This window comes from Homo sapiens, chromosome 1, assembly GCF_000001405.40.
Source record: "Homo sapiens chromosome 1, GRCh38.p14 Primary Assembly".
Lineage (NCBI taxonomy): Eukaryota > Metazoa > Chordata > Mammalia > Primates > Hominidae > Homo > Homo sapiens.
Genome location: NC_000001.11, coordinates 117,941,243 through 117,956,554, shown reverse-complemented (window position 1 = coordinate 117,956,554; position 15,312 = coordinate 117,941,243). Strand labels below are relative to the sequence as shown.

General features: G+C 36.3%; 2 protein-coding genes across 15 annotated transcripts in view; one reads left to right on the top strand and one right to left on the bottom strand.

Annotated features, from left to right (window-relative positions):
• SPAG17 (sperm associated antigen 17) overlaps positions 1-2,965 on the top strand; it is a 231,639-nt gene extending 228,674 nt beyond the window's left edge. For 13 of the 14 annotated variants that reach the window (XM_006710427.4, XM_006710426.4, XM_011540934.2 and 10 more), the window contains one exon: positions 2,506-2,965. The gene's annotated coding sequence lies outside the window, so the exon portion shown is untranslated. Of the gene's footprint in view, positions 1-1,324; positions 1,468-2,505 lie in introns of all 14 variants that reach the window. The other variant, XR_946574.2, reaches the window with a different exon arrangement.
• WDR3 (WD repeat domain 3) overlaps positions 1-15,312 on the bottom strand; it is a 36,805-nt gene that overhangs the window by 9,989 nt on the left and 11,504 nt on the right. Inside the window, exons 9-24 of the mRNA NM_006784.3 lie at positions 14,708-14,805; positions 14,011-14,118; positions 12,929-13,159; positions 10,376-10,469; positions 8,049-8,150; positions 6,719-6,804; positions 6,425-6,560; positions 5,665-5,721; positions 4,479-4,579; positions 4,147-4,258; positions 3,893-4,027; positions 3,559-3,609; positions 3,014-3,079; positions 2,456-2,548; positions 1,928-1,975; positions 1,197-1,240 (exon numbers count right to left, since the gene is read on the bottom strand). Coding sequence (NP_006775.1) covers positions 1,197-1,240; positions 1,928-1,975; positions 2,456-2,548; positions 3,014-3,079; positions 3,559-3,609; positions 3,893-4,027; positions 4,147-4,258; positions 4,479-4,579; positions 5,665-5,721; positions 6,425-6,560; positions 6,719-6,804; positions 8,049-8,150; positions 10,376-10,469; positions 12,929-13,159; positions 14,011-14,118; positions 14,708-14,805 — 1,562 coding nt within the window. The remainder of the gene's footprint in view (positions 1-1,196; positions 1,241-1,927; positions 1,976-2,455; positions 2,549-3,013; positions 3,080-3,558; positions 3,610-3,892; positions 4,028-4,146; positions 4,259-4,478; positions 4,580-5,664; positions 5,722-6,424; positions 6,561-6,718; positions 6,805-8,048; positions 8,151-10,375; positions 10,470-12,928; positions 13,160-14,010; positions 14,119-14,707; positions 14,806-15,312) is intronic.

Below are 15,312 nucleotides of genomic sequence, written 5' to 3'. Positions count from 1 at the left end.
TTAATTAGGAAAAGTTAAATCTTTAAAACACAGAATCTTCCTATCTTGAAATGTATTGTAACCTCCACATTAATCAATTTTCTTTTACATTCCTGTAGTGAAGTTTCATCTTTATCCTAAGACAAGTGTTGTTTCTTGTAAGGAATATATATGTAGATATTGTGGTTCATTATGAAAATGATAGCCTTCAGTAGTTCAAACTCATAAATAAAATCAAAAGGAAAATCACAAATAATATAACAATTATTGCAAAAATGTATGACAAAGAAAATAAAGTATGGTGCCCAGGCTGGTCTCAAACTTTTGGTCTCAAGTGTCCCAAAATGTTGGGATTACAGACATGAGCCACTGTGCCCAGCAAGAATTCTTTAAAAACCAGTAAAATAATACTTAAGAGCAAAAAGAGGTAACTAAAAATTCACAGGACAAAATACAAATGGTCAACAAATATGCTGAAATGTTAACTTCATTAATAGTCAAAAGAAATGAAAATAATAAAATATTACCTTTTGGCTCACACACTGGCAACAAATTTTTTAAAGCCTGCTAAAAATCAGTATAATCACCCTGGAAAGTAATTTGGCAATATAAAACTTTAAAAGCTTATGCCTACTGGTCAGTTATTAGGCTGCTAGGACTCTTAAGAAAAATAATCAATAATGATGACAAAGATATATGTGTAAACATATTCAGTGAAGCCACTGATAATAGCCAAAAAGGAGAAACAAATGCAATATCGAGTAATTATTCATACAATGGAATAATTCTGAATCCAATGATTTTTTTTTTTTGAAGAATATGAACAACAAACAAATGTTCAGGAAATATGTGAAAAAGAACAGAATATAAAACTTTATATAATATTCCAATTGTGTATGTACATAGAAAAGAAGCCAAAATATAAAACAAATTAACAATTGGTGCTTCTAATTGAATTATATATTATTTCATCGCCTACAACATAAATCACTCCCCTTTATTTGTCCTTAAAAGCATCTCTCTTCATACTTTAGAAGGAACTTCCTAGTTCTAGCACTTCAAAAAGAACATTATAAATTATTTTCCATCAAAACTTTGATATAGTTAAACCTATAAGATAACCATCAATTATAATTTCTATTTATTTCCCGTTCAGATAAGCACTTCATAAATGTTTGCTGACAGATTACAAAAATTGTGCGCAAGGACTCACTCACCTCGACTTGATCCCTTTAAAAATCTCTAATACATAAGCTGAAGGCTATAAAGGAAGGATTAATACCATTAGTGATACTCTTGGTTGGTTTCTACTAAAGTTCTCTAATTTCTATCTCCTATAAAACAGGAACCCCTCCTTCTTACTTCAGAAAAAGTATTCTAAAATGGCAAGATCTGCATGAGTTTAGAGTCAGTCAGATCTGGGTTGACAACTGAACTCTGCCCCTTACCAACTATGCTACAAGTCAAGCCAGATTCCTTATCTATAAGGTGAAGATACCCTGACTCACAAAATTACTGTGATGAGACATGCAATAAAATACTAATTAGAGATTACTAGATAAACATACATTCTCCCATCACTCTTCCCCTCTCTCTCTTCTTTATCTCATCAGACTGATTTCTGTCAACTTTCCTTCTGAAGGCTGATTCAAAAGTTAATTTAGATTAACAGAATCTTCAGAGGGCTTTGGACACTGAACATAAACAGGCACTAGAAAACAGAAGAATGCCAGTCCAGTCCAACCAAAAAGGCTGGCTTGGGAAGTCACACTAAAGTGGTCCTTTTGAAATACAAAATATCCTAGAGAATGCCAAGATTCAAAAGAGACTTTTGAAGACAAAGTATTCCCAATAATCCATCCCCAAATCATAATGCCTCTACTTCCTTTCTTGTCCTTGTAAGTAACCTTTTAATAAACAAAGGAAAACCGTTAGACATTTTACTCACTGAGATACTGCCATAAGCCATTAGGATGGGGTTGCTGGGAAGTGGAACCTATGAAGAAATTATTAAATCAAGTCATTAAAAAAACTGAGACTTAGGTAGCACTTGTTATAGACAGAGTGGTAACTGTATTTTATAATTTTGAAAAGGGAAAAAAGAGACCCTAAAAAACTGACAGAGTGTAAAAGAATTATCAAACCTGTTAGTTTCTATAGTACTCATGAATGAGCTTGGACAATGTATTTTATCTAGAAATCTGAAATGGTTACCCTGCCTCCCAAACCAACATAGAACGTGGGTTTCTACTCAAGACAATAATCACCTCAATCTGTAATTTCCTTTCCTTCGCTTTCATTAAGACCAAGTTCCCTTCTTCCCACACTTCCTCAATTTCTTCTAATATAGTGAGTTGGAAAGATTCTATTCCATTTATTGCATATCCTGATCTTAGTTAATAAATCCCAAAACAATGGTTTTTCTCCTTGGGAATTCCCTTTATTGATACTGTAACTTACTGTACTCTCTTATTACCTCTTTCCCTGCAGCTTTACAAATGGCTTTGTGTTCCTTCATTTTTGCAGTTTCTTCTCGGTACAACTCAATAGCCTCCATAATCCTCTCAGCCTACAGAGGATGAGAAAGGAAAGAAGTCATCACAACATACTCCATCATCCCAGGACACTGAAACTGGAAGAACTGACCAGAAATTTGCCAAATGAAATAGCTTCAATCTGTTTAATAAAGACGTGCGAATAGAGTGCCAAAAAGCATTTAAAGACATTTTTGGTTTTCTTATTTTTTAATGTACAGGGAAGAGACTGAGTGTCATGGACTCAGGTGGGATGATATCTAGACACTCTGAATAGGGCAGGTCCCAGGAACACCTGAAAGGAGCACATATTGATCAAAGAGATTCAGGACTACTCCCATCTTTGGTTACAAGAGAAGGAAACAGGTTATAATCCCCATCTTTAAATCTCATCAACTTTTTGCCAAAAAAATGGCTTTCTGGTTGATACAGAATAAAACTTTTACTAAAAAGTTGAGATCTTATTAAAAAACGAGATACCACATTCTATATCAACTTACTGCTTTCACTGTTTCAATAGTTTTCTTTCCAGTAAAGTAACTGTCACCTTGAGTCTCTCCTGGAACCTGCCAGAAACAAAGAAATCCTTGAATAACACTGTTGACTGTTGAGTTAAAGAGCTGATAAATTAATCTTACATCCATATGAGAACAGCTATTATTATTTTATGAAAATACTAACAGTGTTATCAGCTACCAGTAACAGAACTTAGCATATGTATTATTGTAAGAACATCCTGCAAATGTTTAAAAAGAGAATATCCAAATTTTCTAATTTTTATTTTTGTGCTACAGTGAATAAAATAATTCCCTAAAGTCTCAATTGACAGAATAATTATTCAGTAGCAAATTTGGTCAATCACTTGAACCACAAAATTAGGATATACAGTTGAAGAGAAAGAATTACACAGATTCTTTATCAGCTGGTGATACCTGCAACTTCTAGCCTCAATTTTAATTCTATTAGAAATTCTGGACATTATAGTCAATTTCAATAAGATAACTATATATGGGGCATAATCTCAAGGTCCCCAAAATTTACTTACTGCTGGTTGGTCTTCTTTGGCCACACTCTCCTCATATTCTGCTTCTCTTTCCTGCCATGAGATAGATATACATTAATTTGAGAGAAAAAAACATGGTCTCTATATGAAGAGAAATGAGGAAGCGAGAAGCTGCTCCTTTGACAACATAATACCCTAATGGCATCTTTATCTCTGCCTAGCTTCTGAAATGGGTGACAATGGTCTTGAAAAGATCTCCTGAAGGTTCTTGGACTTGGCAATGCATCAGGTGTAACTGCACTAGACAGAAAACTTCAACTAGGACAGCCTGTCAGATACCTACTGGCATATTTGTAACCAAGCCTAAAGTTCTTACCATCTCCCTTTCTTCCTCAAGAATAAGAGGCTCCCTTGTTCTCTCCCAAAGTCTCAGAGATTTGTCATGGGACGATGATACAACATAGTCTCCACTGGGGCTTACAGCCAAACACCATATTTCCTGGTGATGACCCTGGAGGAGAAAAAAAAAATAAAGAATACCTCATTCATTGACCACTACTTAGTGGGTAATGTAAATATTCTTAAAAGTATTTCTTAAGTACCAAGCAAGCACAGAAGGCATGTGGTTACCTCCAGAGTCTGTATGTGTTCAAATTTGTCTGCATCCCACTGTTTAATCTTATGATCTTTTCCGGCAGTGAAGAAGAGGTGAGACTTGGGTACAAACTGTAGGTACATCACACTGAAAAGTGACAGAAATATTAAAATGTCATCAAATTCCAGGTTAGTAAAAAGAGTTTTACACACATAAATAGCTTTTGACTAGCTAGTTCTAGGGTGTCTGACTATATTTTAGAACTTGTATCACTGCCTGAGAACACTGAAAAATAGACACAGATGCTCAAGGAAAGTGATAACTTACAGGTGACTCAAAGGGAGACATTTGAAAAGACTATACATACCTGTCATCATGTGCAAAGAGAGACTTGTGGCAGTCCCCAAAGTCCAAACCCCAGATTTTCACATTCCTATCAGCGGAGCCAGTTGCTATGAGTGCTCCATCCTATGAGAAATAAAAGTAAAACACTACCTTGATTTTTGAATTCCGTATATGAATAAAAAGCTAACCAGAATATTTAACCCATTTCTTTCAAACACATTAAAATGAAGCCAAAAAACTGATTTTCATCTCTACTAAAAACACTGAATTCTTTGCTCTTACCTACAGAGGAACTTAAAAAGCTTGTTAAGTAAAAGCACGAACTCTGTGGCTTAAATACTTTCGTACTGTCACAGGGCAGTGCTGTGCCTTGACATAGGGTTATCTATTTACTTCGTTAGATAGGAAAAAGATTTTCTAATCTCTGGCATGGGATTTGGAAAGAAAGTGGGAGAAAGAAACAGAAGAGAAGCTGAGAAAGACTCTACTAGAATGTTTATGTAGCCCACATTCCCTATCAGTATTTCTCTTATCTCTCCTATTTCAATGCGTGGTCCAAATGGTTGTCAACATAAAAAAAAAAAAAAAAAGAAATACATTTAACATTGTAACTTAACTTTGTTAGTGCACTGACCACAGACAGCTATGAGGTCAACTCCTTTCACACAGAATAGACTTTTTTTTTTTTTTTGAGACGGAGTCTCACTCTGCAGAATAGACATTGTTTTTAATATACATTGCCACTCCTAATCAAAACTAGGTATTGGGAAATAAATGATTTTGGTCAAGAGACCAAAAGTCTACATAGTGTAAAATACCGTAACTATCCAAATATAAATCCGAGCTCCTCAGCAGCATTATCCTTCAGAATAAAAAGGAATGCCTTTTTAAAGTCTTTCATATTTTAGTGTACTCTACCAATTATAGTATTTTAAACAATAAAGTACTATTTGGGAGAGCTACAAGAGGGAAAGAGATAATATTTATAAGGATTGATTGAGATGATATTTGCAAAATTATTCTGAAAACATTAAAGTAATATATATAAGATACAATATATATTAATTTGAGACTGTTTTTGGAGAAAGATATATAACAGAATGATGATAAAAACAAATAATCTAAGATGAAGACATCAAGCCAGAATTAAGAAAGTATCTGCTGTAAAAAAGACAACATATTACTGAGACACTATTTAAACTACTTACATGAGAGATGTCCATGCATATAACAGGCAGTTTGTGTCCATACAGTGACAGAAAAAACTAAACATCAAAAAAACATAATTAATGTCTGTCTATAAAATATGGGTATAATTTATTACATGTAGGTCTAAAATATAACTTTAAACACATTTTTAAATTGCTTTATATCTGTATTTTCAAAGACAACCCACAAAAGACAGCTTGGCAGGAGTACCTGTGTCCACTACACAGACCCTCCATGTGCTTGCCAAGAATACTGCAGTATAGTGGAGGCAAGGAAGCCCCCAGAAGCTTACTGCCTCAGTCAGATCTCTGTATCTCCTCACTGAAAAGATTCCAGGGCATTTGTTTCACAAAAAAATTTCCCAGGCCCAACCTGGTCCTATCAACTCTCTGGGTATAGGGCTCAGTAATCTATATTTTTAAAAGCAACCTAGATGATCCTAATATATAGCCAAGTGTGAAATCACTGCCCAGGACACCTAGCAATGCTCTTATAACTACTTAGTATGACAGAATTTTCTGTCCACAAGATTTTTTGAACATATGAAATATAACTTGCTTTAAACAAAATTCATGAACCATAGAATTATTTTAAAATGCTAGCTTCCCTAGCATAGTTACATTGCTTTGATTCACACACACATTTTTAGAAATGTACTATCGCTGGGCACAGTCAAGGCCACTTCTTTATAGCCTCAACCCAAATTCTTAAGGTCAGTCAGTCAGAAAGGGAAAATATCCGCAGGCATAACCACTGTACCTTTAAAGTATCAACGTAGAAAATTTTCACAGTACAGTCCAGCAAAGACACAGCCAATAGCTTTTGATTGGGAGAGTAACTGACACACAGAACATCTTCATCTAGTTGCAAAGTTCGGGTTTGCTTCACAGAAAGTCTAGCACCACAAAAAACATCAAGAAAAAATAAATGAGTATACAAATTCAGACAAATCCTAACTCTTTAGAGCACAACAAATGATATAAGACGTCAAAAGGCCATTCCATAGCTCCCCATTTTCACTCCAAAAAATGGACACAAAAAATGTCTACTCACCTCTTTTGGGTACTATTTTCATCTTTCACTAACTCAAAATCCCAGAATTTGACAGATTTATCTGCACCACCTGTCACAAAGCCACGCTGAAAATCAAATGAAATTTCAATTAAAAACTATTTTAGCATAAAAACTTTGCTATGAAGATACATTTTAAAAGTCTAAGAAAGTATTTTTATTTAACGTCATGGGATAAAAATTAAGAAAAACGTGGTTCTCCCTAGCCCCTTTCACTGATCTTTTGGGTCTGCTGCCACAAACCTTATGTGAAAATTCCTACCATCGACTAACATAGGCAGAAATAATAACTAATGAAAAGTTCTAGTTATACTATTATCTAGCATCAAGAAGAAACAAAAACTCTCAGTAAACCAGTTTGAAAAATATACATAGAATGGATAATCTAGATTTGTTTAAAGTATTCACCTCAGAAGGATATAAATTTAGTCCTGCAATGTCCCTACTTAAAATAGTTTTGAAGCTGTTTTCCGTTATCAAGAAAATTAGTCTCATTACATGGCAGTGTTAGTGTAAAGTACATAGAACACTGGATCTCAAGTGTCTGTCCCTCATAGATTTATAACACAGGAAACAACCTTTCCGTAAATCCCTAGTTTTGTTGAAAAAAAGACCACACAGTTTATGGAAAAGATAGAACACTCTACAAATGCAAGATTTATTACTATTTTAGACTCACAGCTGTTTCGTTTGGACCCCAAGTGGTATTAAACACTCTAAACTTCAGTGATTTTTTCCAAAACTAAGTTCTACTTTCAACGGATGAAAATTGTCTATCATTGAGAATATTTAAATAAATGGGCCAAAATTTCTTAAGGTGTTGTCAAAAAAAAAAATCTCAAGATTTTCTAAGCAACAGCACCATTATTAGAATAAGCATACTTTTGCCAGGAACTGCTCTGAAGGTGAGCACATATTTATTGACTTGTAAGGGCTGACATACTTGCTAAAACTACTTAGCTTATACAGTCATAGATGTTTGTTTGAGGAAAAAAGGGGAGCAGCAAAGTCTATTCAGTTCTCTGCATCATGTTGCCCAAGAGAATATTCCCCCTTAAGAAGTATTACAAAACATTGGCAAAAAAATCATGATGGTAAGCAATTTGATGTCACGCTGCTGATAAGCAAAAGTAGCCAAACAAGATTTCATTTCATAATGACAGGTGGTCATTTATAAGAAGGCATCATATACAAACACTAAAGATTAGACCAAAAAAAAAAAAAAACCTCAGGCTTTCTTTAAAGAAACCCTGAGAGAAATCAGGGTAGCCACAGGGCTGAACTCCAGGGCTTTAAAATCTGGTTTAGTTACCTGATCTGGAGAGAGGGACATGGACCACAAAGCTCCATCATGTGCATCTATTGTCTCCAGCAGATTCCCTGAAGCCAAGTCATAAAGCTGCAGCTTCCCTGTCTGGGAAGACACAAAATGAGCACAGCTCCAATGAACATACGTACAACCTCCATGATTCATGACTGCACAATTTAGAAAAGACTTCATAACCAAGCTGCAAAAATGTGATCCATTGCTTAGGAAATGGATCCCACATTCCATGTTCTGTATTTCCTACCTGATTAAATACTATTAAATCCCCTACTGATGTGCTGGGTTAACCTTGGCAGGGCTACCATAGTGTAGAAGTATGGAATAATACCACCATGCAGTACTGGATGCATTACTTTCATTGGTTACACAACTTCACAAGGAAAATATCATGACCATAGGCAAATCAGAATAAACAAAATAGCAAATGCAAACCTAAAAGCCTTTAAAGTTTAGCCAATCCTTTAAGCGGATGATCCTCTATAGTTATTGGCTTAAGCAACCACCTCTTTTCCATCTGCTTTTGGTTTCCTCCTCTGCAATACATTGACAATAAGAAATGGGATCTACCTACAGCACTAAGGAAGGCAGTGAATTTAAAAAAAAATCATAATGGCATAGAAAGCAATCACTCTAAAATTCCTATTTAGAGGTCTGTATATGCCATAGTCATGGTGTCAGCATGTAACACACACAGAGGCAAAGCCTGTTTTACGATGAGCTTCTGCACAAGGTGGTACAGACAGCATAAGCTAAAAGACTTGAGTACCAGGTCTGCTTTGTGCCCATTGGTAAATTCATCCCCATGAACCTAGTTTTTCATCTGTAAAATGAAATTTATATCACCAATGTTTCAAAGATGTTGTCAGGATTAAATGAGATAATGTACATTAATTGCCTAGCACAGCCAGTAAGCCGACAATTGCATTTTAGCCACATGGGTAGTCTTAAGCAATTAAAAAACTACTTTCCCGACGGCAAATCAGAGATGGACATTTGTTGAAAGAGTGAAAAAGGAAGGAAAGTTTTGAGATGTGAATACTGTTTCCTGGCATTGTTCCTAAAATCTCTCCAGCCTACATTTTTTTGTTGAAGCAAGAAATATCCATTGTGATCCATACATTTTGTAATAAAACTCATGTACATATGGCTTTGTTTTATGGGAATAATAATGACAAATACTTGCAAAGCACTTTTCAAAACACTCCATAGACCTTGTTCCATTTTATTCTCACTACTGGTACAATCACTACTGCTATGTCTGCTACCAGCTCTATTATCGATTAGCTATTCGCTGCAGGCTAGTTTCTCTGCTAAGAGTTTTGTATACTTCATCTCTGTGAAATGGGTCAGTAACGTCATTTTCCACGAGAACACCAAGGCTAACAGGGTTAAGGTCACATAGCTAGTAAGTGCCAGAGGCTGGTACCAGTCCATCTGGTACGAAAGCTGCTGTCAAAAAGCAAGTGTCGTCATCCCATAATATAAAGGAACACACTATGAGCAGTTATGTGACTTGCTCCAAATTACTCATTTTTTTTTTTTTTTTTTTTTGAGATGGAGTCTTGCTCTGTCACCCAGGCTGGAGTGCAGTGGTACTATCTCGGCTCACTGCAAGCTCCACCTCCCGGGTTCACGCCATTCTCCTGCCTCAGCCTCCCGAGTAGCTGGGACTACAGGCGCCCGCCACCACACCCACCTAATTTTTTGTATTTTTAGTAGAGACAGGGTTTCACCGTGTTAGCCAGGATGGTCTCGATCTCCTGACCTTGTGATCCGCCTGCCTCGGCCTCCCAAAGTGCTGGGATTACAGGTGTGAGCCACTGCGCCCGGCCCAAATTACCTATTTCTAAAGGGCAGAAACTAAATCCAAATCCATATCTGCTTATTTCCACATGGTTGTCTCCCAATCTGACTAGCACCTAGGAATAAGGACTTGATCAGTTTGTCTTTACTGAATGCTTCTGTCTGCCAAGCATGATATTAGGTACTTAATATATTTAATTATTACCCTTAATATATTTTATCATTAATTAAAACACAATTACATATGCGCCCATAAAAAGACACATGAAAGGATGATCACCAAAATGTTAATGGTAGTTATCTCAGGGTCATGATTTTAATTTTCTTCTTCATAATTTTTAAAAAATAAAGTAAAACTTCAGTAAACAAAATATGTAATAAACTAACATCCTCCCAGATTACTTAGCTCCAGTCCATTTCCAATATGCTAAAAAGAAGAACCAGATTTCTTAACTTTATGAATTTTGAGTAGAAAAGATCCAGATATCCCAGAAAAAGTCTCCATTTACCTTTGTTCCTATGACTACCTGTCTATCACCAGGTACAAAGAATGAGCAAAGTGCATATTCACAGGTCATTGTGCGAATACACTGCAGTGTAGACCTATGAGAAAGAAAAAATAAAGAACTCATGTTAAGAGAATCTGCATCCCCATTTTAGAGGTCAGTGTGTAGGTTTCAATGCACTTAGACAGATCAACATAAAAGAAGATAAAAGTCTTAAAAACCCTTGACTCACACACAATTATAGTCATGGGAGAAAATACTAAAAAGCACCAAACTTTGTTTACTTTATAAGGCCTCCAAATCCTAAGGAACAGAAATCACACAAAAGCAGAGTAGAAAAGTGTCTGCTGGGCTCCACGGAGCCCAATCTGCCATTACCAAGAAGTGAGTGAGTCTGAAGGATTACAAGTCAAATTAGTACATCATTACATATCCCTACATTTTTTATAGGACCACAAACATTAATTAATTAATCAAATATATATCAAATGTCCACTTAACAAACATTTACTGAATGCCCACTACATTACCAGGTACTGTTCTAGGTGCTGGAGATACAACAGTGGATGAAACAGCAGAGGTTCCTAATCTCATAAAGGTTAACATTCTTTGGGAATAATAAATATCTAAATATTTGGTATATCAGGTGTTAGGTGCTATAGAGCAACATAATGCTGGGAGAAGAGGATGAAGAGTGCAAGGAGTAGGGTAAGAATGATAGGACTGTCATCTGATAAGACACAGAAAAAGCTTATGGATAAATGGGGAAGATGGATTCAGGCAGAAAGAACAGGGAGCACAACAGCCATAAGAAAGGCACATTCTTGTTCTGTTGAAGGAATAGCAAGAAGACCAGTGTGGCTCTAGTGGAGCAGAAAAGGAGAGTAGTAAGAGATAAGGTGTGTAAGGTAGGTAGAGTGAGATGGAACTACTGGAAGTGATCTAACTTCCACTATAAAAAGATTACACTGGCTACTGTGTTGAGAACAGACTATAGAGGGGCAAGCAAGAAAGCAGGGACACCAGTCAGGGGGCTTTACAATAACCCAGATGAGAGATGACAGTGGTTTGAATGGGGTAGTGGCAGTGCAGGTGGTAAGATGAGGCTGGATTTGGGATCACTTTTGAAGGTAGAGCTGATAGGATTTGCTAATAGATTGGATGAATATGGGATACGAAAATCAACAATGGGCTGGGTGCGGTGGCTCATGCCTGTAATCCCAGCACTTTGGGAGACCGAGATGGGTGGATCACTTGAGGTCAGGAGTTTGAGGCCAACATGGTAAAACTCTGTCTCTACTAAAAATACAAAAATTAGCCAGGCGTGGTGGCACACGCCTGTAATCCCAGCTACTCGGGAGGCTGACACAGGAAAACCACTTGAACCCAGGAGGTGGAGGTTGCAGTGAGGCGAGATCACATCAATGCACTCCAGCCTGGGCGACAGAGCGAGCCTCTGTCTCAAAATAAATAAATAAATAAAAGAAAATCAAGAATGGCTACAAGGTTTAGACTACAACTGGTAGCAAGTAATCATTTATTAAGATAGGGAAGTCTGAAGGAATAGCAGGTGGGAAGATTTTTGGAGACATGAACAACGTAAGTTTGGTTTGGGACACATAAAAGTTTGAAATGCTTAATTAGACATCCAAGTGGTGACACAAAGTATTTGTATATATGAATTTGATGTTTAGGGAGGAGGTTAAAGCTGGATATAAATTTATGTGTCATCATACAGAGAAAGCTACATGACAGATTACATAAAGTGAGTTTAGATACACAAAAGGTCCAAAGACTCTGCCCTAAAGCACTCTAACACTTAGACGTCATAAAGATAAGAAAGATGGAGCGAGGACTGAGAATAAACAGACAGCAAGGGAAGGGGAAATAATGAAAGTCAAAGAGTGTGTCAAAGACAGAAAGTCATCAATTCAAGGACAAAGCATAAAATAAAGCTTTTAGCTCAATGGATTTGGAAACAAGATCACTGATGACAATGACTGTTTTGGTGAAACAGTGGGGACAAAAGCTTGATGGGAGACAGATGAAGACAGAATGGAGAAAACAAATCAGAGAATGGGGTAGTAACTGGAGAGCAATGCAGGGGTGAGAGAGGGTTATTATTTCCTTTAAGGTGGGAGATATGATCATTAGCTTCAAGGTTTTGGAGGTATTTGATTTGACAACAGAAGCAAGGTATAAAACAGTCATCTGGGAAAGTAAAAGAAGGGTGAGAAATTAGGGTACAATTACTGGGCAGCAATAACAGCCTGCTTTTTATTAAGTTTAAAGAGTAGGTAGTATGGTTGTGTGTTTTTCTCTAGCCAAGTACAGTTACAAGCTCTAAACATGGAATAAGCTTGCCTTTTTTTTTTTTTGCACCACATTTTAAAAGGCAACTTTTTCTTCTCTAAGCTCCACAGGCTAATGGCCCAAATGCACTAAAGATAATTGTATTTAGGGCCTTAAGGAGTTAATAACTAACCCTTAAGAGTACCAAAAAAAATTAAAAGAAATACTACTAACTACAGCTATATAAAACATCATTTCACGAACCTGTTCCATATTTTAATGGAATCAGCTGCAGCTGAAAGAACAGCAATATTGTCTGAGCTGAATGACAAAGTCCGCACATCACTGCGATGACCCCCAATAGTGATTCTGCTTGTCCTGACAGGCTGAGGAGTAGGCAAGGATGGATTCAGTGAATACAATTCCACCAGGTTGTTCTGCAGCAGGAAGACAGCCTTTAACTCTCCGTGAGGTGAATGAATCAAGTCAAAGGACCTGTACAAGAAAATAATCATAAATGTTCTAGCTACCATCTTAGCTCACAAGGTTTACTTTTTCCAGGAAAAGGCTTTACAATGTCCTCTATCTATATAAAGTTTGAATAACTATAAACAATTTTTCAAGTAAGAGTGCCCTGAGGCTGGGTGCAGTGGCTCACGCCTGTAATCCCAGCATGTTGGGAGGCCGAGGCGGGTGGATCACTTGAGGTCAGGAGTTTGAGACCAGCCTGGCCAACATGGCGAAACACCATCTCCATTAAAAATACAAAAATTAGCTGAGTGTGGTGGCACAAGTCTGTAATCCCAGTTACTGCGGAGGGTGAGGCAGGAGAATCGCTTGAACCTGAGAGATGGAGGTTGCACTGAGCCGAGATCATGCCACTGCACTCCAGCCTGGGCAACAGAGCAAGACTCCATCTCAAAAAAAATTAAAAGAGTGCTCCGAGTATTGAGTAGTAGCTGAGTAGGCTTTTAAGTAAAAAAAAAAAAAAAAAAAAAAAACTAGGCTCAGATCCTGGTTCTGATACATACTTTGGTTCTGTGTATGTATTCTTTATAAGTGACCTTATATCCTTTCTGAACGTGGGACACACTTTTCTTTTTCTTAAATTAGCTGCAGGAAAAGACAGTAAATGACTAGCTAAAAAGGGTACTATAATAATCCAAATACAAGACAAAAAGTGGGCCCATGATTAGGACAACAGGAGCAGAGTGTGACACAGATGTCTCATGACCACCGTCTCCACATATATAATTCATACAGACAGCTTACAAATAGCATGAAAAAGCCAATAATACTTGGTAGCTTACTATTTCTATAACTTCAGATAATTTATTTTTACTCACTTGATTTTGGCAGAAGTTTTTATATTAGTCACCCGCTGGATTTCATCTTGCAGACTCATTTCAACATTAACCTCAGGATCTTCCTCCTCTCCTTTGCTAGAATGTAATCTAGAGGGAAGAAGAAAAGTATATCATGCTCTTATTTTTCTAGAAGCAGCTTTGCTCTTACTTGAGTTCAAAATCTGGCCCCTTGACCAACAAACTGTGTTATTCTGGAAAAGTCACTTAACCACACAGGATTACCATGATAATTAAACAATGTAGTATAAGTGGAAATGCTTTGTACACTACAATGTCATAAAGTATTATTTCACTTAATAGGTACCCTTAAGAAATGGATTCTGAATGCAATAGCCCATAAAATTTCTTGTAACAAGGTCCTTGTAATTCCAACTATTCCACTGAAATGTCTCCGGTTATTTTTCTAATTTCAGGACTTTTTAGAAAACTCATTAACCTGCACTTAACAATCCAACCATGTTAAATAAACCAGAATAGGTATCAAAAGATTTGCCAAATCAGATGATTTTCTGTCTCTCTGAGACTTGACAAATTTGGGTTATCGATACCTCACAAGTTCTTTAACTTTTAATGGTAATTGATAAGACAGTAAATATGAAAGAAGCCAGTTTTTTTTCAGTAACATGGGGCCTACCCAGGATACTTCATTATTAATGTAAGTATTAAGAAAACATACTTTGCTTTCTTTCTAGCTTTCTTCATCTTCTTATCCATTTTCTTCTGAATTTCCTTTTTGGAAAGGATACAAAACAATTCTAGCACAGAGTCAGTTCCCTAGAAAGGCAAAAGGTTAATGTGAGTCAAGGAGAGGTAATTTGTAATTTACCTAATTCTCAATTAAAAGTAAACAACAATATTTATTTTTCTTCCCTTAGTAGTTGTATTACCTTGGACAACTTAATCTCTCTGGGTTTGCTATCTCATCTGTAAAATGAGGATACCATTTCCTACTTGTAGCATTGCTCTGAAGGCTGAACAAGAAGTTAAATGCTCTTAAATTGCTTAGAAGAGCAAGCATTTAATAAATGGTTGCTAATAATAATACTGGTACAAAAGTAATTGCAATTATTACTTTTTAAATGGCAAAAACCACAATTACTTTTCCACCAACCTAATAGTAATTATTAATATTTTTGTTGTTATGCTAATAAAGCTAGAGATTATAGGTCCACACAGTACCATATAATGAATTATTAACATGAGTCAAGAAAAAGTCATCTTTACATTGAATATGAAAGAATGAGTGTTTGGAAGGAACAGCCTAGTCCTTGTTATTTTCTC